Here is a 24,064-nt window from a genome sequence, read left to right on the forward strand (position 1 = left end):
ACCAATTAAAAATAAATACAAATACTTGCTACAAAGTGGATGAACCCTGAAAACACACCAAGTGAAACAGGAAAAGTCTACAGAGACAGAATAGTAGTCGTCAAGAAGCTGGCAAGAATGGAGGTTCGGGGGTTGATAGTTTAGGGGTAAAAGGTTTTTGTCATAAAATGTTCTAAAATGGATTTTGGTGGTACTTGCACAGTTTTGTGAATATATTAAAAAACACTTAATTGTACAATTTAAGTTTGTGTGTGAATTACATCTCAATAATGCTGGTTAAAATATAAAAAAGATCAAACTTTTTAATATAGAAATTGTTCAAGAGAAAAGGCTGCCTCTCTATACTAATTTATGCTTCCTTATTATAAAACCTGTATTTCTTTAGTATTTTTGGTAACAGGAAATAAATGTAATTCTCATCTATAACAACTCTTATTCTAAGTTTCTGAATTTCTCTACTCAATTGCCTTTTTAAAGTATTTTAACTGTCTTGTGCTAGATGTTTTAATATTATCTTTGGACTTAAATCCTGAGGAATAGAAAATACATATCTTTAAATTTATAAATAGATAAATCTAGACGAGTAAACCCTTACCAATAAGAATGTCAACTTACGCCGGGCATGGTGGCTCACGCCTGTAATCCCAGCACTTTGGGAGGCCGAGGCGGGCGGATCACGAGGTCAGGAGATCGAGACCATCCTGGCTAACACGGTGAAACCCCGTCTCTACTAAAAATACAAAAAATTAGCCAGGCATGGTGGCGGGTGCCTGTAATCCCAGCTATTTGGGAGGCTGAGAGAGAAGAATGGTATGAACCTGGGAGGTGGAGCTTGCAGTGAGCTGAGATTGTGCCACTGCACTCCAGCCTGGGCGACAGTGCGAGACTCTGTCTCAAAAAAAAAAAAAAAAAAAAAAAAGAATGTCAACTTAAATTGACTAGGCAAAAGTAGCCTTCTCACAAAAGCTAATAGGCATAATAATTCTATCCAGACTCTACTATGTAAGCCAATCAGCATACACATAGAAGAATCCTGGTAACTTTTTTTTAAATCAGTATCGCTTAAGGAGGGTGGATGAATAATTTAATAGCATAACTAAGAATTGGGGATGAGGGATGGGAATGGAAATTAAACCTAAAATATTTGAAAATTAAACCACTTCAACTTTACATTGTATACAATATCCCAGTAACAGTTTAAAACATTACTGTTTTAAGTAACTAATAATTTCATTAATTTTGGCTTTAAATTTAAGGTATTACTTTGTTACTGATTTGATATGATGTGAACCGCCCATAGGATACATTATTCAAAACAAAAGACCTAATCCTGAACTATTTCCTCCAGGTACAGGGTATTTTCCATGGGCATCTCACCCCAGTCCAGAATGAGTACATTCACTGAATATAAATTTTACATTAGACTAGAAAATTAAAAAGGAAATAAGACAAAATGCTGAAAAAATGTATCCAAAATCTAACTATTTGGGTTATCTGCTCTTTAACTACCATAATCAATGTTTTATGGTTTTTTTTGTTTTTTTGTTTTTGAGATGGAGTCTCATTCTGTCGCCCAGGCTGGAGTGCAGTAGTACGATTCTGGCTCACTGCAAGCTCCGCCTCCTGGGTTCATGCCATTCTCCTGCCTCAGCCTCTCGAGTAGCTGGGACTACAGGCGCCCGCCACCACGCCTGGCTAATTTTTTGTATTTTTAGTAGAGATGGGGTTTCACCGTGTTAGCCAGGATGGTCTCGATCTCCTGACCTCATGATCCGCCCGCCTCGGTCTCCCAAAGTGCTGGGATTACAGGCATGAGCCACCGCGCCCGGCCCTAAAATCAATGTTTAATTGTATTTTCATAATGTTGAATTTACCCTACTGGAACTATGTATCCAAAAAATTACCAATTATCATACAAATCCAAGACACTCTCAATTGTAGATACAAACAGGTCATTAATATAGCTATGAGAAATATTTTAAGATATACTCACTCTCATTCAAACTTTTGCCTAGTACTTAATGTTCTCGATCTGTACTAAAATATTTTACGTATGTTCTGATTTACAGCAGTAGCTACCTAACTGGTCCTGGGTGTCCCTGTTTGTCTGCCTTTTGTAATCTACTCTTCCAAAACCTGTAATGGTTATCTAACTTTCAGTGATCATGGACCCCTCTGAGGATCCATACCTGCACATTCTTGCCAAAACCTTCGCAGGCCCTATTTTAAGGAGGCCCAGCTCAAACGTCCCATCACTTACCAATGAAGTCCAAACTTCTCAGCCTGGGATTCAAAGTACTTAATGTAGTCACTGTTAACTAATTTATCTTCTCTTTTCCAACTACACACTCCAATCAAGACTATCTCCTGATTATCCCATCCATCCTTCCTGGCTTGCCTTCACAGTTCCCTCTTGTTGCTTTCATTGACAACTGCTTGCTTTCAACATCCACATATACTTCTGGTGAACCTAAAATACCTCCCCTGCCATGAGGGTTTCCCTCCACTTACAATCAGATTATCTGATCCTTTAAATTCTGAAACATGTTATCTGCACCTCTTACAGAGCTCACCAGGTTCTATTTTGTATTGCAAAAGGTATCCAAAAAGTGAGGAAACACAGAACTTGTTTTTGAACTGTATGTTACATTTTCAATTAATATGCTCCACATGTTTTCCTTCAGCCTCTATAAGTCTCTTCATGTGATGTATCTCACTTACCCTACATCTATGTGTTTTTTTTTTCCCCTCTTCTAAGATCTGTAAGGGTAGAGATGGTAGCTACTTCACCCTTGTGTCCCCTGTCATCTCCAGCACAAAACAGGAAGACACGCCAGGCATGGTGGCTCACGCCTGTAATCCCAGCACTTTGGGAGGCCAAGGTGGGTGGATCACAAGGTCACGAGATTGAGACTATCCTGGCCAACATGGTGAAACCCCGTCTCTACTAAAATTACAAAAATTAGCTGGGTGTGGTGGTGGGCGCCTGTAGTCCCAGCTACTAGGGAGGCTGAGGCAGGAGAATTGCTTGAACTAGGGAGGCAGAGGTTGCAATGCGCCAAGATCGTGCCGCTGCACTCCAGCCTGGTGACAGAGCAAGACTCCGTCTCAAAAAACAAAAACAAAAACAAAAACAAAACAGGAAGACACCTCCTACATAGAGTACCTGAATATCTGGGCATCAGTGTTCTTCTTCAAGTATTTCATGCATTCTGTATCCCCTATTGTAAGATTTCCCAAGAACCGTCATTTTTTGTGTGTGTTTTTTCCCCTCAAACAATGTTCCACTCTTAGTGTGTACTTGATCAAATAAGAACTTATTAACTATCCAAAATAGTGGTTAAGTTACTCACATCCATCCAACACCTTTCTCACTGATATATGCCAACCCTGTTTAAAAAAACAAAACAAAACAAAAAAAAACCCAACACCTTAAACATATCAGTCCTCACCATTAACCCATAAGGGAGCACACAAAGATGGCTCCTACACAAAAATGATCCAAATGTAAAAGCTATTACCCTTTAGTACTGCTGCAAACAAAGTTCATAAAACAAATTCCAAAAACAGAAATAAATACTATCCCAGATTACACATATGCATACCACGGAAGGCAGTGAGATGACCTGAGTACAGGAACTTCTTTTAGGAATTCCTAAACATGATACAAAAATTTATGACCAACAGATTCGTGCACAACATGGAAGAACCTTAAAAATATGCTAAGTGAATGAGACACAAAAGGCCATATATTGTATGATTCCATTTATCTGAGATATCCAGAATAGGCAAATTCAGAGACAGAAAGTAGATTAGTGGCTGCCAGGGCTGGGAGAAGGAGGAAATGAAAGGTACAGCTAATGGGTATGGGGTTTCTTTTTGGAAATGATAAAAATATTTCGGAAGTGGATGGTGATAATGGTTTGCCCAGTTTGGTGAACATACTAAAAACCACTCAACTGTACCCTTTAAGAGGGTGAACTTTATGGTATGTGGGCTTTATCGCAATTTTTAAAAAGTGTTTTGACCACACTGGCTGTTTTATCTAGAAGAAAACTGTATTTAACGGGAATCTTATTTTGTAGTTTTGTTTTTTCATACTGATCTAAACCAGCAGTTATAAACTGGTTCCTTACTAGTCCCTTTTTAAAACCAAAGCATTAATTGTTGTCAACGGTAGCTACCGACTTGCCAACGTTTACAAATACCTGTAGAGAGAGGTTTTGTCTAGCAATCTGGATTTCTGGCTTCCAAAAAAAAAATGGAGTTCTAAAAATGCTAGGCACACCAGCACTGCAACAATGGCTTGAAGCTAGGCAGCCACTAACATACTTGTTGTTCTTATTTGCCATGATGTCCACTACTCCCTGTTGTCTTCTAAACACTGAAGCCCAATGTCAATTACCATTTAGCTTACTGGTTGTGAGTCTGTGATCCCTAAACAATGATCTTCTACCCTTCTTACTAGGGTGTACTGCTGATAAATTAAAATGTAATTGTGGATGATTACATTTTAACATACCAACTGCAAGAATAAAAACTGTAACACTGATATCTGTTAGAAAAAACCCTGCAATTGTCACAAATTTATTCAAACTAAAGTGAAAATTCAAGGAAAAAATGTGTCCATTCCTATAAACAGAAAAAAAATTATTTTCAGTTTACAATTAAAAATCATTTTCATCTACTCACAGTCAGAAAGCAATGCAGTAATAACTTCTTACCCCCATAATTAGGTGGTGGCACAAAATGAGAGAAAATTATCTTATTCAAATTGACTGGCTATGAGAACAAATTGCTTTACTTACTGATTTTATGTTTAAACCATCTAGAACCCTCCTGATGCTTAAATGCACAAAGAAAAACAACCCTTTTGCATTTGTAGCTTATATGTATTAAACTGTAGTTTACAAAGCCAAAAGAAAACAAAATACAAGGTGAACAGCGAAACAGACCTAAAAAAGTACATTCTACTACTTCCTATGTCAAGTGTATATAAGGCTTTTGAGCTAAAAGCTATGGCAAGTACCATCCAGCTTTAGAAGTCTGTATGTCCTTACCCGTATCTTCTTCATTACTCCAAACAAAATAATCTAGCTGACCTGCTTTTCCTGTAGACGGGAAAGTTTAAGAGTATTTGCTTTCTATTTCATTTTTACCATCAATTCCAATGGCTAATAAAACAACATATAAGATGCCCTCTAAAAACAGCTATTCCCTTTAAACTAGGCAAAACCAAACTTATTTCTCAAAGTCTTCCAAGAGAGACCAGATGAGCCAATTACTCAGTAGTTTAGAGGAAAACCTCAATGTTCGTTCTCCCTGAGCCATTAGGTTTACAAGTGACATTTATTTATTTATTTTTGGGATGGAGTCTCGCTCTGTCGCCCAGGCTGGAGTGCAGTGGTGCAACCTCCGCTCACTGCAACCTCTGTCTCCCGGGTTCAATCGATTCTCCTGTCGCAGCCTCCAGAGTAGCTGGGATTACAGGTGCGTGCCACCACACCAGACTAATTTTTGTATTTTTAAGAGAAACGGGGTTTCACCATGTTGGCCAGGCTGGTCTTGAACTCCTAACCTCAAGTGATCCGCCTGCCTCGGCCTCTCAAAGTGTTGGGATTACAGGCGTGAGCCACCGCGCCTGGCCGCAAGTGGCATTTTAAAGTTCAATATTACCACTGAAGATTAATGGATATACATAAGACTGGAGTGGCATCACAATTTTCTCACAACTGCAATTCCAAAATAAAATCCAGTTGCACTTTTGCTTAACACAATCCTGAAAAACACAATCCTGTTTCTGTTAAAACCTAATGGTGAATCAAATATGAGTCTCTCCTAAAAGTTCACCAAATTTCTAATGCACATAGTAATCTAAATCACAAAAACAACTTTGTCAAAAATGCAGGACTAGAAACAAAGGAAAACATCGATCAGTCATTACTTCAACCATTAACAATGGAAGCACAAAGTGCCATTTGACTGGTAAAGGTTACTGGAAAACCCAGATCTCGAGTTTCACACTGTTAAGAGTATAAGATGCACGGACTGTACTGGAATTAGCAGAAATGGTTCCTGCTATAACTGTGCTTTACCTGCTATTCTCTAACACTGCTGTCCAGTAGAACTATCTGAAATGAGATAAATGTTCTATGTCTGTCCTATCCAATACAATAGCCAATAGCTACATATGTCTACTGAGCACTTAAAATGTGGCTAGCAAAACTATGGAACTTGGTTTAATTTCAATTAAATTGCTACATGTGGCTAGTGGCTCTCTTATAGGACAGAACAGTTGTATAATTTGAAATACAAGGTATAAACTGTATTGACTAAACCGTAGTTTTTCAAAGTATCATGACCTGATGTTAACACCAGGCAAGACCATTCTGATACCTAATGATACACAAGGTCTGCGATCAGCCTAAACATAAAATTCACTTATGAAATGAGAATTCTTGATATTAGATTCAGAATTTAAGGTGCAATCTTTATTAAGTAATATAAAAAATAGTCTCAGGTTCTTCCCCATTGTTTTCGCAAACGGGGTGCTCACTTTCAAAATAGTTTTCCAAAACATCCAAGTTATTTTCCCTTCAAATCTGTTCAACATCTTCTGTTCAGGAAAACAATGGCAAAAATAAGTTGTCAACACTAGTAAGTGTCCTGCGACAAATTAATGTGTAAATGTCACACATTAATTTTCCTTTTCCTTAAAAGAGGGGGAAAATGTTTGGCAGCGTCCGGATCCTTCAAAAGCCTTATTACCCATCTTTCCAAATGTTTAGGTGTACAAAACATTCAGATACAGTTGCGATTTCGTTCCTAGATACAAAGTAGTTTTTCAGTTCCAGAGAATTACAAGTCATTTTGACTTGTATTCTTTGACCAGCTCTTCATAAGTCAAGAAAAGTAACAAGATGGTGCACAAAATGTCAAAAGAAAACAAGTCTGGAAACTTGCATTGAGTAACTAGTCGCTAAGAGGAATCAATTGCCTTTAACCCGGAGAGAGAGTCCCTCGCACTACCCAGCCAAGCAAACAGAACAAGGTCGTGACCCTGGGTCACGGCCGCCAGTACCGCTCCCGCCCGGCAGCGGGGAAGCCACCTGTTAGGCCCGAGCCTCACCTGGCAGGAAAGAGGAAGCGATTGCCCGGCAGCTCGCCCGACGCGAGGGCGGTGAGCGTGGAACCCGCCCCTCTTGCTGCAGCGGCTAGACCCCCGTCGGCACGTGGGCTTCACCCAGGCCCCGGCAGCTCTGACAGGCGGGTCGCCCGCGGACCCCGGCCCGCCGTCTCGCGCAGGTCCCCGGGGCAGGACCCCCGTTTCCCTCGCAACCACCCCGCCGAGCGGGCGTCCCAGCGGCCCACACCGCCGGTCCGCCCTGCTTCCCTTCCTTCCCGGACGGCGCGATCCCGCCCTGCAGCCCCTCACCTACCTGGTCACGGAGTTTGAGGAACGCCATGGCGGTCGCCTCCGCGCCCACTCCAGCCTCCTCCTCCTCCGCCGCTGCCGCTGCCGCCGCCGACCGGCCCACTGCTCCCGCCCCAGTAGCCTTGGCCGCTGCCCGGGACCAGCGGGTCCGCGGCCGACTGCGCTGAGAAGACCTGCGGGCAGGGGGCGGCGCCGCCTCCCCGGCCGCCCGCCGCCGCCGCCGCCGCCGCCGCCGCCGAGAGGTGAGGTGCCCGGCCGGTCCCGCCTCCTCCTCTGAGGACTCCCCGCCCTCTTCCTTCCTTTCTTTCTCCTTCCCTCTGCTGCCTGCCCTACCCGCCGCTGCCGCCGCCGCCTCCTCACGCCCCCTTCCCGAAATACCCTGGCAGCCCCCGCGGCCGCGCCGTTCCAGCCCGCGGCAGCGGCGGCATCCAAACTCCACAATATTACCACCACCGCCCGCCGCGATTGGCGGCCGCGCGGGGGAGAGGCCAGAGTAAGCCGAGCGCCCATTGGCCACGCCGCCGCGCTCGCTGGTGACCCCCCCGCCTACCGCGACGGGAGGGGCATGCGGAGGAAGCCGCAAGGGTGGGCGCGGGGCCGCGGCTCGGGCGGGGCGGGGGAGTCGGCAGGGGTGCGGGCCGGGGGAGGGCGGCCAGGTGTCCCGGCTCCCAGGCGCTGCCGCCTCAGGCGTGGTAGGCGGAGTCCGGGGCGGAGGTGGCGTGGGGAGGTGGGGAACGGCCCGGGACTCGCACGTGGAGGTGGAGCGCGGACGCCTCCCTCAGCCAGGGCAAGACTAAGGAGCTGGGTGAGGGACCGGAAGGGCTGGAAGGGGTGGGCACCTGGGGGCTGCGGCGAGTGGCGATGGGCGAGCCGGACTTGCACGTGGAGAAAGCGTGAGAATGTGCCCCTGGGTTTGGGGAGGGTGGGGAGCCAAGGAGTGGGATGAGAGGTGGTCACGGAATGGGGGGCGCTGCTGTCCTCCCCGGGGGCTGCAGGCCGAGACCGGGTGAGGGGCGGGGGTGATGCTGGCACTCTGGACGGAAGGGCGTCGTCTTCGCAGCCGAACAGGTTGTGGACGCCCAATCGTTTTTCTGCCCGTAGTCCCAATCCGAAGCTAAGCTGTGTGGTTTTCCCTTGAAAGCTCCCCAGCCAGGCTTGCTGCCTCCACCCCTTTCGCATCTGAAGCATTTTGCCTCCCACTCGAGAGAAATCAATTTTCTTAAACAAACAAAAAAAAAGATGTGCAGGATTTCTAATAAATAGCATCCTTGGATGGAGGAGAAGAGGAATGACTCCCTCATCCTGCCACACACACCCCCACGCCACCCCGCAGCTCTGAAACGGCTTTTCTTTCTTAGCCAGCCGCACGCTGTTGCCATTCCAGGCTCGTGTGGGAGAAGATTGTTGTGCGCCTGGGTCTGTCCGCCCGGGCGGCTCCAGCCTCTGGTTTATAAAAGGTGCAGATGGTTAAAACACAAACGTGTGACGTCAGGGTCGGTTTTTAAAAGTCTCTTCTACCCACTACATCAGTTGTGTCTCTTGGGATGGACTTTAGAGAATCGATTCGAGCCTAATGGCAGTCTAGAGAAATGGAGATCTTCGTCAGGACTATCAGATTATTGTAATGCTGCACTTATAACAAAAAACTTAGATTTAGCCACGCAAAAAAAAAAAAAAAAAAGAAAATAGAGTGCAAGATAAAAAAACACACCTGATTAACTGATAGTACGACCCTTCCAATATTCTTTGAGATATCCATGCTATGGTTCCATTGAAACAATTTCTTACCTAAAATTATGTCCCTCGTCATGATATTTTCTACTTAAAATGGAGGAATTCTCATAACTGTGATCTAACCGTCATAATGAGGCTAAAAAGGAAATCAAACTGCTCTTGCTTTGCATTCTCTTCAGTAGCTCCTTTACCCTTTATTTCAACTCCAGCAGATAAAATAGAGATACTATTTGTCACCCAACCCCTCCTTATCAGTTCAGTGAGGGTGAATGAGTTAATGTCGTGAAAGCACTTGAGTTCTCCAAAACAAAGATGTTGTGATAATATTACTACAGTACTTTGTGATTACAAGTTAGCTTTGTAAATAATTACCAATGTGCCATATCCAGTCGTGTTCTATCTTGGCCTAGGAGTGTTAGGATTTACCCTCATTTATAAGTAAGCCTGTTAAGCACTATGGATGTTGAGCCAGGAATTAATATAGCCCTCCTCTTCCCACCAAATAATCTCTCCTCTAGGTTAAATTTCTAGAATTTAAAAACACAATGAGAACCTGATTAGGAACATGGCAAAGATGATTTTTTGGGAGAATGTAAGTGTGTTTGAGAGTATGAATTTATGGACTAAATATGCATTTTAATAGATTTTGTGATTGAAGCTAATGAAACTTTCCAGGACTCTTTTGAAATTTTCTAATTAACAGTAATTAATGAAAATGTTTTATGATGTACCATCTGCATTATAGTAGGCATGGAGCTCTCCTTATAGATGATGCTTCACACCTAGCTGGGTTCTCACCCTTCTGCACCATGAGCACCATTTAACTTCTCTGTGTCTCAGTTTCAACATTCATAAAAAAACTAAGCTTAACATTTCCTGGCCTACTCATCTCACACCATCAGATAAGATAGTGATATGAAAGGCTGTGGAAAACTCTGAAGGACCATTACACTATATTATTATTATGACAGCAATTACAGGGTACTTCAAATGTTTGTGGGAAATAGAATTAAAGGTTAAAATTGAAATATAAACTTTATTTCTCAACATACGATTTGTCAAGTTCAAGATGATAAGCAATGATACCAGCCATTTAGTTCATCCTTAAAGAACCGAGGGTCCTGGGAATTCATGTCAATGCAGTCTTTTTTACAGTAATAATGTAATGTTAATAACAGAAGAAAAATGCATGCCTTTTAAAGAATTGTTAAGATTAGGAAACAAAAATAAGTCAGAAGGAGCCAAATTAGGAGTATGAGGTGGATGCCTAACGGGTTTCCATCAAAATCCTAACAAAATTGCCTTTGTTTGATGAGAGGAATGAGCAGGAGCATTATGTTGGAGAAGGACTCTCTAGTGAAGCTTTATTGAACATTTTCCTGCTAAAGCTTTTACTAACTTTCTCAAAAATACTTTCATAATAAGCAGATGTTATCATTCATTGTCCCTCCAGAAAGTCAAGCAAAATCTCTTGAACATCCCAAAAGACTGTTGCCAAGACCTTTGTTCTTGACTGATTTGCTTTTGCTTTGGCTGGACCCTTCCACCTGTTGGTAGCCATTGCTTTGATTGTGCTTTGTCTTCAGGATCATAATAGTAAGGCCATGTTTCATCTGTTAGAATTCTTTGAAGAAGTGTACGAGTGTTTTAGGGTCTTGACCCTACTTGTTTAAAATTTCTATTGACAGCCTTTCTCTTGCCTGAAACTGATCTGGGCCCAATGGTTTGGGCACCCATTGAGTTGAAAGTTTGCTCAACTTTAATTTTTCAGTCAGAATTATGTAAGCTTAACCAATTGAGATGTCTGTGGTGTTGGCTCTTGTTTGTGCGGTTAATCGTCAGTCTTCTTCAATTAGGATACAAACAAGATATTTTCCTCACAAATTGATGTGGATGGTCTGCCACTGTGGGCTTTATGTTTGACATCGTCTTGTCCCTTCTTCAAATGAGTTATCCATTTGTAAACTGCTTATTTTGGGGGGCAGGGGGCATTGTCCCCATAAACTATTCATAAAGCATCAATGATTTCACCATTCTTCCACCCAAGCTTCACCATAAACTTGAGGTTTGTTCTTGCCTCAATTTTAACAGAATTCATGTTGTTCTGATACGGGCTCTTTTCAAACTGACGTCTTATCCTTCTTAGTGCTGCAAACTGTATCCTGTTCAGATACATTATAACAAGTTAATATAAGTTTATGTTGGTGAAAAAAAATTGAAATCCAGCGAGACACAGTGGCTCATGGCTGTAATCCCAGCACTTTGGGAGGCCAAGACAGGTGGATCACTTGAGCCCAGGAATTTGAGACCAGCCTGGCCAATGTGGCCAAAGCCTGTTTCTACTAAAAATACAAAAATTAGCCAGATGTGGTGGTGCGTGCCTGTAATACCAATAATTTGGGTGGCTGAGGCACAAGAATCACTTCAGCCTGGGAGGCAGAAGTTGCAGTGAGCCAAGATGGCACTCCAGCCTGGACAATGGAGCAAGACTCTGTCTCAAAAAGAAAAAAAAAGGAAAAATTAAAATCCATGCATATTTTTTCATAATATGCATTTTCCATGAACTTTTTGAAGATGCCTTGTACATTTTCATAGCTGCTGAAAAAAATAGGAAAAAAAAGTCTATACGGCCAGGTGCAGTAGCTCATGTCTGTGATTCCAGCACTTTGGGAGGCCAAGGTGGGCAGATAACTTGAGGCCAGGAGTTTGAGACCAGCCTGGCCAACATGGCGAAACCCTGTCTCTACTAAAAATACAAAAATGAGCTGGGTGTGGTGGCGCATGCCTGTAATCCCAGCTACTCAGGAGGCTGAGGCACGAGAATTGCTTGAACCTGGGAGGCAGAGGCTGTAGTGAGCTGAGATCGTGCCACTGCACTCTAGCCTGTGTGACACAGTGAGACTCTGTCTCAAAAAAAAAAAAAAAAAAAAAAAACTATGCAATTGAGCAAAAATAAGGTGCATATTCACATTCTAATATTTTTAAAATCTTCATTATAAGGCTATTCCTGCTTATAATGAAATATTTACATATTAGGGAAATTCTTAACACCAAAAAAAACCGTATCATCGAAGCCAATGGGGCCAGGAACTTAATTGTTGCCAGTAATCAATTTTTCTCTCTTGTTTTCCACGTCTCTTTCTTTTTCTCTATTACTACAGCCAGTAGCTCCACTGACACATTTTAAGTACTCTGCAGTGATAAAAAGAAAAGAGTCAATATTCCTGAGACATCTGAAGTAATGACTAATTGGCTGGACTAGACTCATGTGCTCATGCCTCAGCCAATCACTACTGCAAGGTCTTGGGGCTGATGACAATCTCCATTCAGAATTCATGTCCAAAATGATAGAAGGAAAGATGTTATACAGATGTGACCGCCAGGGTATTTGCTGTGAGCTAGGCAGCCACACCACGTTTTATTTACTGTTCTACTACTATTTTTACTGTTGGGCACTTGCACAGCACCTTATATGCTTGCTTCATTTAAATTTTTTATTAACCTTTTTATGTTGGGAACTGGAGCCCAAAGAAGTTGTGTGTTCCCAAAGTTACCCAACTAATCAATGGCAGAGCCTGGATGCATAAGGACCTTGAAAGCCAGAAGAGCAGCTTATGTGGTAGGAAATAGATAAATATTTAAGGCTTTTTAGCCAGATAATCCCTATCTTATGAAAATGCATATAACAGACTAACAAAGCAGCAAAAGGGCGAAGCACAGTGGCTCACACCTGTAATCCCAGCACTTTGGGAGGCCAAGGAAGGAGGACTGCTTAAAGTGAGGAGTTCAAGACCAGCCTGAGCAGCGTAGCAAGACCTCATCTCTACTAAGAATAAAAGTTACCTGGGCATGGTGGCATATATCCATAATCCTAGCTGCTTGGGAGGCTGAAGTGGGAGGATCCCTTGAGCCCAGAACTTCAAGGCTGAGCAGTGAGCTCTGATTATGCCAGTGCATTCCAGCCAGGATGACAGAGCAAGACTGCATCTCAAAAAAAAAGAAAGAAAGAAAAAGAAAAGGCAGCAAAGGTAAGTTCAGAGACCCAGAGGCTGGAAGTAGAAGGTCCAACATATATTTAAAAGAGTTTCAGGAGGAGAGAAGGAAGGAGAGGTGATCTCCAGAGATGATGTCTGAGAAATTTTCAGACTTGAAAAATGTGAGTTGTCAGATCAAAGGAGTACATTGTCTCAAGCAGAATAAATTTTAGAAATTGAGACCTGTACATAGTAATGAAATTAAAGAATACCAAACATAACAAAATTATGTTAAAAGTTACCACTGAGAAAAGTCAAATTACCCTAAGAGAAATGACTATCATCCTGTCAGCAGATTTATCACCAACAGTTGTGACAGAAGATGATGGAAAATATTTTCAAAGTATTAAGAGACCAAAACTGAGAAACTAGAATTCTATACCTAGCTAAACCATCTTTCAAGAGAAAGGACAAAATAAACACATTTTCAAAATTTAGGATGCACACATACTCATTCAAAGAAGTCCTAGGAAATATACTGCAACAAGAAAAAAGCTGAAACCTGAAGAAAAAAATAAACAAATTAGCAAGTATCTTGGTTAATATGAATCAGTAGTATGTTTTTAAGTGCTAGTATTTTAGAATTTTAAAACCAGGTGAAATTAAAATATCTATTAAAATATGGTAGATGATGGTAGGAGGGAGTTCTGAGCTAAAATATTCTGGAGTTATTTTATTCAAAGGCAATGAAATATTCCTTCACCTTAGACTTTGACAAGTTATACTGGTTAAAGTTCTTTGTTGTAAACAACAGAATCCATGCAGGAATTTTAAAAATTTATAACAAAATTATTGAGAGAGCTGGAAAAACAATCCTGGGCTAAACTTCTAGAAAAATGCCCAAAACCATGGCAGAACTAACTGGCATGCTGTTCCCATCAAGCTCCAAATATCAGGAGCTCGACTTTTCTTCATTTGCTCCTGCTCCCAGGATCAGTGTCAATTCTGTGTCTGGAACTTGATCTTGTAGCCAGAAGAGTAGTAGCTGTCTGCAGAGCTTGTATCCTCACATTCCTTACATTTCCATGGGTACATCTAGTAAGTAGAGCCAATGTCACAGGCCTGCATTCTAACCGCAAGAGAGGCAGGAAATTTGAGTTCGCAATTCTATCCTGGGTAGGTAGGACCTATAATCAGAAAAGTATCCCAAATATAGAAAGGTTATTTAAAAGATTATGGCAACCATGACTATAACACAATCCATTACTGATACACATGTTAAACATTTAAAGGTATTCACCAAAATAAACTAGTATGTGGAACTTCCAAACCTATAGAGAAAAAAAAAATGGCCTAGAGAAAACTTAGTTAATGAAATAGTAGGCAAAAGAGATAAAGAGAGGCAAATTAACGGTATGATAAATGGGAAACTCAAATGAGATTGTACAAAGAAGTCCAAGGATATTGTTAATCACAATAAATATAAATGGATTTGATCTGTCTATAAAAAAACAACAAACACATTCAGACTGAGTTTTTTTAAAAACCAGCTATTTGCAAGATATATGGTTAAAACATATTGCAAAAGTTTAGGGAAAGGATTTAAAAAGAACTGTATACCAAGAAAATATTAATCAAAATATTATTCATCTAATAACATATCAGGCATAAGAATTTAAGGAAAGAAGGATTGATAGGAATTAACAAGTAATGTGTAGTCATCATAAAAGGAACTGTCCACCAAAAAGATAAACAGCCACCATGTAGTCATGAACTTGTGTGCATTTAACCACATTAAGCAAAATTTGCTGAAACTACATAGAGTAATTGGCAAATGCCCCATTAAAAACAGACCAGGCGCGGTGGCTTATGCCTGTAATCCTAGCACTTTGGGAAGCCAAGGCTAGCAGATCACTTGAGGTCAGGAGTTCAAGACCAGCCTGACTGACATGGCAAAACCCCATCTCTACTAAAAGTATAAAAATTAGCTGGGTGTAGTGGCACATGCCTGTAATCCCAGCTGGAGGCTGAGGAAGAAGGATCACTTGAACCCAGGAGGTGGAGGTTGCAGTGAGCCGCGAGAGAAACAGACAAAAGGGTTGAATGCCATAAAATCAATAAGCTTGATATTATGTGAGAATATATGCACACACACATATATAATCAATAGTTCACACCACTCCCCCAAGACACGAAGTCCAGCCATTTTAGAGGTGAATTTTACCAAACATGACCTTTCTTCGTTTTGTTTCATAAATAGAGGCTAACATCAAGTGTATTAACACCGAGATTCCTGATGCAGCAAATGCTTCTCAGATACCTTTTATTTCAGCCCAACCCTCTGACATCCAAGTACAGTTATTTTAAAAATAGGGCCATTCAGAACCATTTCATTTATTCAAAAGCTTTTTCAAGAGGATCTCTGCTTAACTACTACAAGTATCTCTCTGCTGCTGACATCCTTTCTGTGGTTGAAGTAGATGAAAAATATAAATAATAGACTACATAAGAAAAATATGCAACAGTTGTATACATAGTATAATATAAACTCTGTAAAAAATAAACAGAAATAAGCAAACATCTATGAATAGAAAAAAACTAAAGACCAGAAGACAGTATACCATAGTATTAAATGAAATTATGTTTGAATGACAGAAGTATGAGTCATTTCTTCATTTATCTGTATTTTGCATGTTTTCTTTAGTGAGAAATCATTAGTCTCCAAATATGTTGGCGTTTTATATAAACTTAAATTTTAATAATTATATTGCCACATTGGAATAAAAAAAGACATGACACAATGAAAATAACTCAGAATGGTAAAAGAAATTCTTTATCAATAAGTACATTGGTTATGAATGAACTAGACATCTCCACTAAAAGGCAGATATTATCAGACTGAATAAAACAAGATATACACCTGAGATTCAAGGACATAAGTAGGTTGAAAGTGAAAGATGGAAAAGATACATTATGCAAACAGTAACCATAAGAGATCTGGAGTGGCTACATTAATATCAAAATAGTAAACTAAACTTAAGAAATATTACTGGAGACATTTTGATAAGGGGTCAATACATCTAGAATAATAAATATTATATAAGAACTGACCTCCAAAATAAATGGATGAAGCAAATTCAACAGTAGTAGAGATTTCATTTTAAAAATCTCATTTATAATATCATTAAAAAGTACTTAGGAATAAATTTAACCAAAGAGGTGAAAGACTTATACACCGAAAACTATAAAACAGCATGAAAGAAACTGAAGAAGACACAAATAAAAGGAAAGATATCTTATGCATGTGAATCAGAAGAATGAATATTGTTAAAATGTTCATACTATTCAAAGCAATATACATATTTAATGCAATCTCTATCAAAATCCTGATGGCATTCTTCATAGAAATAGAAAACAATCCTAAAATTTGTTTTATAGAAATATATATAAAACAAATATATTTCTTTATAGAAATAGAAAACAATCCTAAAATAGAAAAAAATCCTAAAAGAAAAAGAGAAAAAGCTGGAGGCATCACACTTCCTGATTTAAAATTATATTACAAAGCTATAGTAATGAAAATAGTATAGTACTGGCATAAAGATAGATACATAGACCAGTGGAACAGAATAGTCCAGAAACAAATCCAAACATACATGATTAACTAATTTTCAACAAGGGCACCAAGAGGACATAATGGGGAAGGGATGATCTCTTCAATAAATGGTGCTGGGGAAACTGGATTTTCACATGTGAAAAAATGAAATTGGACCCTTATACCATGCACAAAAATCAGCTTAAAATGGGTAAATGATCTGAACATAAGACCTGAAACCATAAAAATCCTAGAAGAAAACATAAGGAAAAAGCTTCTTGACATGGCCTTGGCAATAATTTTTTGGACATCACACCAAAAGCTTGGGGTACAAAAGCAAAAATAAATACATGGAACTATATCAAACTAAAATGCTTCTGTACAGCAAAGGAAACCACTAACAAAATGAAAAGGCAACCTACAGATGGAAAAAAAATTTACAAACCATAGCTCTGCCGAGGGGCTAATATCTAAACTTTATAAAGAACTTACACAATTCAATAGCAAGAAAACATATAAGCTGATATAAAAATGGGCAAAGGACCTGTTTCTCCAAAGATGACAAACATGGCTAACAGGTATATGAAAAGATGTTCAATACCACTAATCAGGGAAATCAAATCAAAGCTACTACGAGTTACCACCTCACGTCAATTAGAACAGCTGTTATCAAAAAGACAAGAGATAAGTATTGGCAAGAGTGTGGAGAAAAGGGAACCCTTGTACACTTTTGGTGGGAATGTAGATTGGTGCAGCCATTATGGAAAACAGTATAGAAGTTCATAAACAGAAATAGAAGTACCATATGACCCAGAAATCCCCTTTCTGGGTGTATACTCAAATGAAATCCCACAAAGATATCTGCATTCCCATGTTCTTTGTGGCATTATTCACAACAGCCAAGATTTGGAAACAGCCTAAGTGTCTGTCAATGGATGAATGAATAAAGAAAATGTGTTACATATACTTACACAGTGGAATATTATTCAGCCTTAAAAAAGGAGGAATCCTGGCCGGGCGCGGTGGCTCATGCCTGTAATCTCAGCACTTTGGGCGGCTGAGCTGGGCAGATCACAAGGTCAGGAGTTCAAGACCAGCCCAGCCAACATAGTGAAACTCCTGTCTCTACTAAAAATACAAAAAAAAAATTAGCCGGGCGTGGTGCAGGGCATCTGTAGACCCAACTACTTGGGAGGCCGAGGCAGGAGAATCGCTTGAACCTGAGAGGCAGAGGTTGTAGTGAGTGAAGGTCGTGCCACTGTACTCCAGCCTGGGTGACACAGCGAGACTGTCTTAAAAAAATAAATAAATAAAATAAAATAAAGGAGGGATCCTGCTGTTTGCCACAGTATGGATGAACCTGGAAGATAGGAAGATATTATGCTAAGAGAAATAAACCAGACACAGAAAGAAAAATATTGTATGATCTCATTAATATACAGAATCTTTAAAAAAATTCAAGTATACAGAGATACAGACTAAACAGTGGTTATTAGGAGGAAGGTGGGAAGTAGAGAAAATGGAAGATGTAGTTCAAATGCTACAATGTAGGATGAATAAGTCTAGAGATCTAATGTACAAAATGAGGACTATAGTTGATAATTGTGTATTGCTTTGGAGATGTTTGCTAAATGAGTAGACTGTAGCTGCTCTTGCCACACAAAATGTGAGTGCCACACACGATGTGAGATGATGGATATGTTAATTTACTTCACTATAGGAACCATTTTACTATCTATATGTATTTCACAAAATCATATGCTTTAAATATACACAATAAGAATTATTTTTAAAAGATTTCGGTACCCCACTTTCAATAATTGATAAAACGAAGACTTTAGCAACACTATCATTAACTGATATTTATAAAACACTCCACTGAATGACTTCAGAGTACTCATTCTTTTCAAGTGCACATGTAACATTCTCCAGGATAGACTATGTGATAGAGCCCAAAACAAGTCTCAGTAAAATTTTTAAAAAGATTGTGATTGTACAAAGCATGTGCTCTGACCACAATGGAATTTAGAGATCTATAAGGGAAAGAAACCTGAGAAAACATCAAATATTTGGAAATTAAACAACACACTTCTAAATAACCCATGAGTTGAAGAAATCACAAGGGAAATTAAGTTTTACTGAATGAAAACAAAAACACAACATCAAAATCTATGGGATATATCTAAAATAGTACTTAGAAATAAATATAACTTTGATTCCTATATCAGAAAATAATAAAAGACAAATAAAAAATGTAAGCTTCCACCTTAAGGAACTAGAAAACAAAGAGCAAGCTAAGCCCAAGACAAGCAGAAGGAATAAAATAATAAATATTAGAGTAGAAAAGCAATAGATAAAAAATTTAAATCCCTAAAAGTTTTTTATTTCAAAAGATCAACAAAATTGACAAACCCTTAACTAGACTGACCAAGGAAACAAGAGAAACATTACTAATTACCAAAATCAAGAATGAAGGAGGAATAAAGCACCAAAAAAACTCCACGTGATCTTCTCAATAGAGTAGGAAGAGCCAGCAAAGAAGACTGGGATAAGAGAAACCAGAAACCAAGAGAGAATGTATTTCAATAGAGACAGAGTGGTCAACTGGTTGAGTGCTGCTAATTCCTATAAAAGAAAATGAGAATTGACCATTGGATTAGGCCATGTGGTTTGTTGACAACCTTAGGAAGGATTTTGGGAAAATAGCATAAATAAAAATCTAATTGGAATGACTTGGAACAGAACTCATTATAAGAAGTGAAGAAGTGGAAAAAATGAATACAGACAACTCTTCCAAGGGGTTTTGTTAAAATTAAGGACAGCAGTGATTTGGAGTAGTAGGGAGAGAGATGAAAAGCCTAAGGGAAGTTGTTTTTGTCTTTTAAGATGGGAGATATTATATGTATAGACTGAGGAGTAATTGAAAGGTAAAAGGGGGAAAAGTTGGTGATGCAAGAGAGAGTAGATACCTGCAGGCACAAAGTCCTTGAGAAGGCAGGAGGGAATGAGATGTAGTTCAGAAGCAAAGTATGTCAGGAACTCTGAAGGGTCTGAGATTTTACTGTATTTGTAAGCTAACAAGTTAGCCTGCCACTATTTCATGGAGGCTCAGCAAATGGGAAACTCCTGGGTCAAAGACAAAGGCTTTGATTTCTCACACCACCAGTTCCCTACACCCCAGTTCCCCAGATCAATGTGAAGAGGGCCAGATGACACCCGCATATGCATTGAGTTGCATTACAAGTGAGGAACTCTGAACTTAGGGAACCCGAATCTTTTATATTGGGCAATAAAGGTGTGTGCCCTTTGCTCTAGAGACATTGTTTTTATTATTTTGAGCAGTAAACATTCTTGCTGTTTGTTCCAGAGGGAGACACTATCTCTATCTTCCAAGGCTATGAAACATTCAATCCTTGATTACATAGTCTGGAACAAGGAAATTTAAGAGACTCTTAGAGAATTGTCTCTCAACAGAGTTTAGCCTTTAGTAAGAGCTTGGACACCTCATCCATTTTAAATGGTAGAGGGTGAGGGGTGGGGAAGATAGATTATTGGAAAAGATTCTAGTACCTCTTTTTTGCTTACTTTTATTTTTTTCCCTAGCAAATCAATAGATGAAGGTATCAGGTAAAATTTAGGAGTGGGCATCAAGAGTATATGGTTTAAAGAGAGATAGAGCTGCCTAGAAGAGAAGGAGAGGGTTGGCCAAGGAAATGTAGAATTATTGGGTACTGCTGAAGACACTCCTATAGTGTGTGATCATAAATTTAACCAGTCAACACAATTGCGATTGTTTTATCCAGGTTCATTTCATGCTTAAGTGCAGGGAAAGGTCACGCAGAGAGTTGGCTTTAACCAAGATTGGAGTTTTTTTTTAGGACAGTATGATGGAGAAAGAATGTGGTAAGGGCCTTAGGGGCTGTACACTGACAAACCCTTAATTAGTATGAATACAGTCATGGACCATGGAATCTAGGCTGGATAAAAAGGACAGTGAGGAAAGGAAGCCCCATGAAAAATTGATGAGGCCAAAGGATCAGAGTTCCTGCTAGGATTAAAGAAGAGTTAGAGTGTATTAGAATAAGTGAACTAGGAAGATAGAAGGAGGTAGTCAAATAATGGAATGCCTAAAATCAAGGTTTTAGAGTAATAGTATATGAGCATGGGAGTGGGTAGCTAAGGTGGGGTGGAGAAAAAGATCATTAGAGATGAGGAGTCAAGAAACTGAATGACCAGAGTGTCAGATGTATCATTTAGTGCTTGTTGAAGTCACCAAGAATAACAAGTCACAGTGGAGAGACAGGGACCTGTATGCTAAAATTTTGAATGAATGAGAGGAAATGACTGAAAGGTCAGTAGATGATTGCAACATAGAGGGGTGGCAGGTGCCATTGACTGATGGCAAACTATTCCTTTATTTAATAAATATTTATTTACATATGGCCAACTAATTACTGTGGGGAGAACAACTTACCACATCCTCAAGGATTACATGCTAATTGGAAGATAATATACTCCTCCATCAAAAACGAAACAGTAAGGCAAACATTGCAGTATGGTGAGGCAGAAATACCACTTGCCTAAGGGTCAGAAAATCCGATTTCTATTATAAGTTCCAGCTTTGTCAGTAATTAGCTGTGAGCCTGGGTAAATCAGTTAACCTCATTAGGCCTCAGTTTCCACATTTGGATACAGATGAGATGATTCTCAAGCTTCTGCAGGGCATAACATTTCATAATTCTATGAAATAAAATAATAGCTATTTCACACGGAAATTGGGGAGAATAAATAAGCACGACTGTCCAGATTTTACAGACAGAAGAACATGAACCACAAAGGACTACATAATTTGTCCAGCATCAGAATGTAAAGTCAGGTTCATTGTTGTTTGTGTTAGATCATATAATGCAGAGCAGATGGCCTAATCTGTGTTGGTGTTTGTCCACTTTCCTAAATTTTTGTTTGTCTTTCCGTTATCTCTATTTGGTTCTAGCTAGGTCATGATTGCTTATGTCAAAGAAACAAAGAAAATACGACAAGAATCTGTAACTGTAACAATGTTGTTTAACACAACTTTGAATACATTTTTACAGGAAGCAAAGAAGTGTGTTGCCCTCTAGGAAATGTGTGTTGCTCTGATGTAATTAGGTTGACATACGTTTCCCTGGTAGCCAATATAAGGAATGGGTCCACTAACCCTTGATATCAGAAAATTCTGGGGTTGGATTAGATGTCAAGGTTGGGAAGGATATTATTTGGGTAAAGGGGTTCATTAACAGTTTTTCCACTATAATGAATTTTTCCTTTATAGCTGTGATGTTACTCCTACATTTTTGAATATGTACAAGCATATTCAGTGATGCTTTGAGATCCAACTGTATGCTGGGTACTACTACTGTAAGGACTAGTGGCTTTGTGGAGAGCAAGAGAGCTAAGGTATGCGTCCTATCTCCTTTTGTTAATATATACTGAATGGCAAAGATAGACATAAACAAGAAAATGAATAAATAAGATATTTTTTCAGAGCATGATCAACATTATGAAGAATATAAAACAGAGTAACAAGATGTCTCTTACCATGTTTTGCATTCCCCGCATTTAGAAAATAAGTACCACAAGAGTTAGGACCTTGTCTGTTATATTTATCAATTATCCACTGTGCCTTGGTTAGTGAGTTTTGGCTGTGGACTTCTTTAGGTAGGACAGTCAGAAAAGGTATCTGTAAGATGCCCTGAGAGCTGAGAAGTAGAAAATAAGGAATTTTCAGCCAAAGATCTGGGGAAGAGCAATGTAAAATTCCCAAGGAAGCAACAAATTCAGCATGTTTAAGAAACATAAGGAAGGTCAGTGTGGCTGGAAAGTTGTAAGGGTAGAAGTTTGAATTTTAATTTAATTACTGTGATAAGCCACTATAGGTTTTTTTTTCCTTTCTTTCTTTTCTGGTCATGTTTTCTTCCTCTAATTTTATTTCCTTTTTTCTCTAAAGAATTTTAGTCAGGGATTTTAAATGACCTTATTTTTATCTTTAAAAGTTTACCCAGACAGTTTTGTAGGGAATAGAGTGAGAATAGCATGAGAAGAAGCAAGAGATCAGTTAGGAGATGAGTGTTGATAATGGGCTGGTGCAGGGGAAGAAGTATTGAGCAGTAATTGAGTTTGAGATATATTCTAGTAGGCTGTGTGTGGTGGTGCTTTGGGAGGCCCAGGTGGGAGGATAACTTGAGGCTAGGAGTTTGAGAGATACATTCAAAAGATAGAACAAACAGGATCGTTCAGCTGTTGTTCTTCAACTGTTGTTCGACAGCTGATTGATTGGATACGGAGTGAGAGAAAAAACAAGAAAGACTCCATTGCTTTGGTCTGAGTAATTTGGTGGTAGTAGTGCCACTAACAGGGAAACTGGGAGAGGAGCAGAGTTTTTCTAGGGAAAATCAAGCAGTTGGTTTTGTCCATGTGAAGCTTACAGTGCCTGTTAGATCTCCAAATGGATATGTAGATAAAATGGTTGATATATGAGTATGGCAAGATGTCAGAACTGAAGATATTATCCTCCTGTGAGTCATTGGCATTTAGATGCTATGTAAAGCTACAAGACTGAGTGAGCTCATCAAGGGAGAGCATGTTGATATGAGCAGCAAGGACTAAGCCTTGAATATTTTTGCCTTTGAAAAATACAGTATTCTATAGACTAGAAGTACATTATTTACCAGGCAAATCAGCCAGTTTTAAAAACCCACTTTGTCTTCCTCTCTCAGCAAGTAGTGGGAGGCCATCTTAGAAGGAAGCTATCCTGGTGAGAAGCTCTAATCACACAGCAGCCCCTGGGACTTGCCAGTATGTCATCAGATACACAAAGAAAGATTCTGGTTCCACTATGCCTCTCTCTCATCCTAAGTCTTCCCTGACTCTCCCAGGCCACAGTGATCCCTCCTTCTCCTAACTCTTCTTCCTCGTTACTTTCTGGACCTTTGCAGACTTTCTTCCTGGTGGTGTAGCTACTTATGCAGAGCAGATGCTCTAATATGTGTCTGTTTATCTCTATTTATACAAAGTTTGTATTTGTCTTCTTGTTATCTCTAACTAGGCAATGATTGCCTATCACCCCCGCTTTCAACAACATTATAATTTCCTCAAGGACAGGATATTCTTACATGTCTTTCTATCCCTTATCATGTTCTGTATTTCCCCATTTGGAATGTAAATACCACAAGAGCTAGGATTTTGTCTGTTATGTTCATCACTGTACTCTTGCAGTCTGAAACAGTATTCTTGAATAAACGCAAATAGAATGAAGGAATATAAAAGCTGTTTATAGTTGTCTAGACA

General features: G+C 39.7%; 1 protein-coding gene, 1 long non-coding RNA gene and 1 other non-coding gene across 14 annotated transcripts in view, besides 3 other annotated features; 2 read left to right on the top strand and 1 right to left on the bottom strand.

The window, feature by feature from the left end:
• ANKRD28 (ankyrin repeat domain 28) overlaps nucleotides 1-7,877 on the bottom strand; it is a 192,579-nt gene extending 184,702 nt beyond the window's left edge. For all 12 annotated transcript variants that reach the window (XR_007095653.1, XM_047447807.1, XM_011533542.4 and 9 more), the window contains exon 1: nucleotides 7,440-7,877. Coding sequence is in view for 4 of the 12 variants with exons in the window: in XM_011533542.4 (XP_011531844.1) it covers nucleotides 7,440-7,466 (27 nt within the window). In the remaining 8 variants the exon portion in view is untranslated. The remainder of the gene's footprint in view (nucleotides 1-7,439) is intronic.
• Nucleotides 7,205-7,454: a silencer, noted in NCBI's record as "silent region_14110". NCBI's record gives its function as "represses an Ori minimal core promoter by ATAC-STARR-seq in GM12878 lymphoblastoid cells {active_cell/tissue: GM12878}" and the evidence as "EXISTENCE:reporter gene assay evidence [ECO:0000049][PMID:35858748]".
• Nucleotides 7,515-7,794: a silencer, noted in NCBI's record as "silent region_14111". NCBI's record gives its function as "represses an Ori minimal core promoter by ATAC-STARR-seq in GM12878 lymphoblastoid cells {active_cell/tissue: GM12878}" and the evidence as "EXISTENCE:reporter gene assay evidence [ECO:0000049][PMID:35858748]".
• Nucleotides 7,875-8,194: a silencer, noted in NCBI's record as "silent region_14112". NCBI's record gives its function as "represses an Ori minimal core promoter by ATAC-STARR-seq in GM12878 lymphoblastoid cells {active_cell/tissue: GM12878}" and the evidence as "EXISTENCE:reporter gene assay evidence [ECO:0000049][PMID:35858748]".
• Nucleotides 8,177-24,064, top strand: part of LOC107986064 (uncharacterized) — a 112,662-nt gene continuing 96,774 nt past the window's right edge. Inside the window, exons 1-2 of the long non-coding RNA XR_007095831.1 lie at nucleotides 8,177-8,328; nucleotides 22,050-22,174. This is a non-coding gene — a long non-coding RNA (uncharacterized LOC107986064). The remainder of the gene's footprint in view (nucleotides 8,329-22,049; nucleotides 22,175-24,064) is intronic.
• On the top strand, nucleotides 21,834-21,912 carry MIR563 (microRNA 563). Its single transcript, NR_030289.1, has one exon. It is a non-coding gene; the product is annotated as a microRNA 563 (primary transcript).

Source organism: Homo sapiens, chromosome 3 (assembly GCF_000001405.40).
Source record: "Homo sapiens chromosome 3, GRCh38.p14 Primary Assembly".
In the NCBI taxonomy this organism is placed as follows: Eukaryota; Metazoa; Chordata; class Mammalia; order Primates; family Hominidae; genus Homo; species Homo sapiens.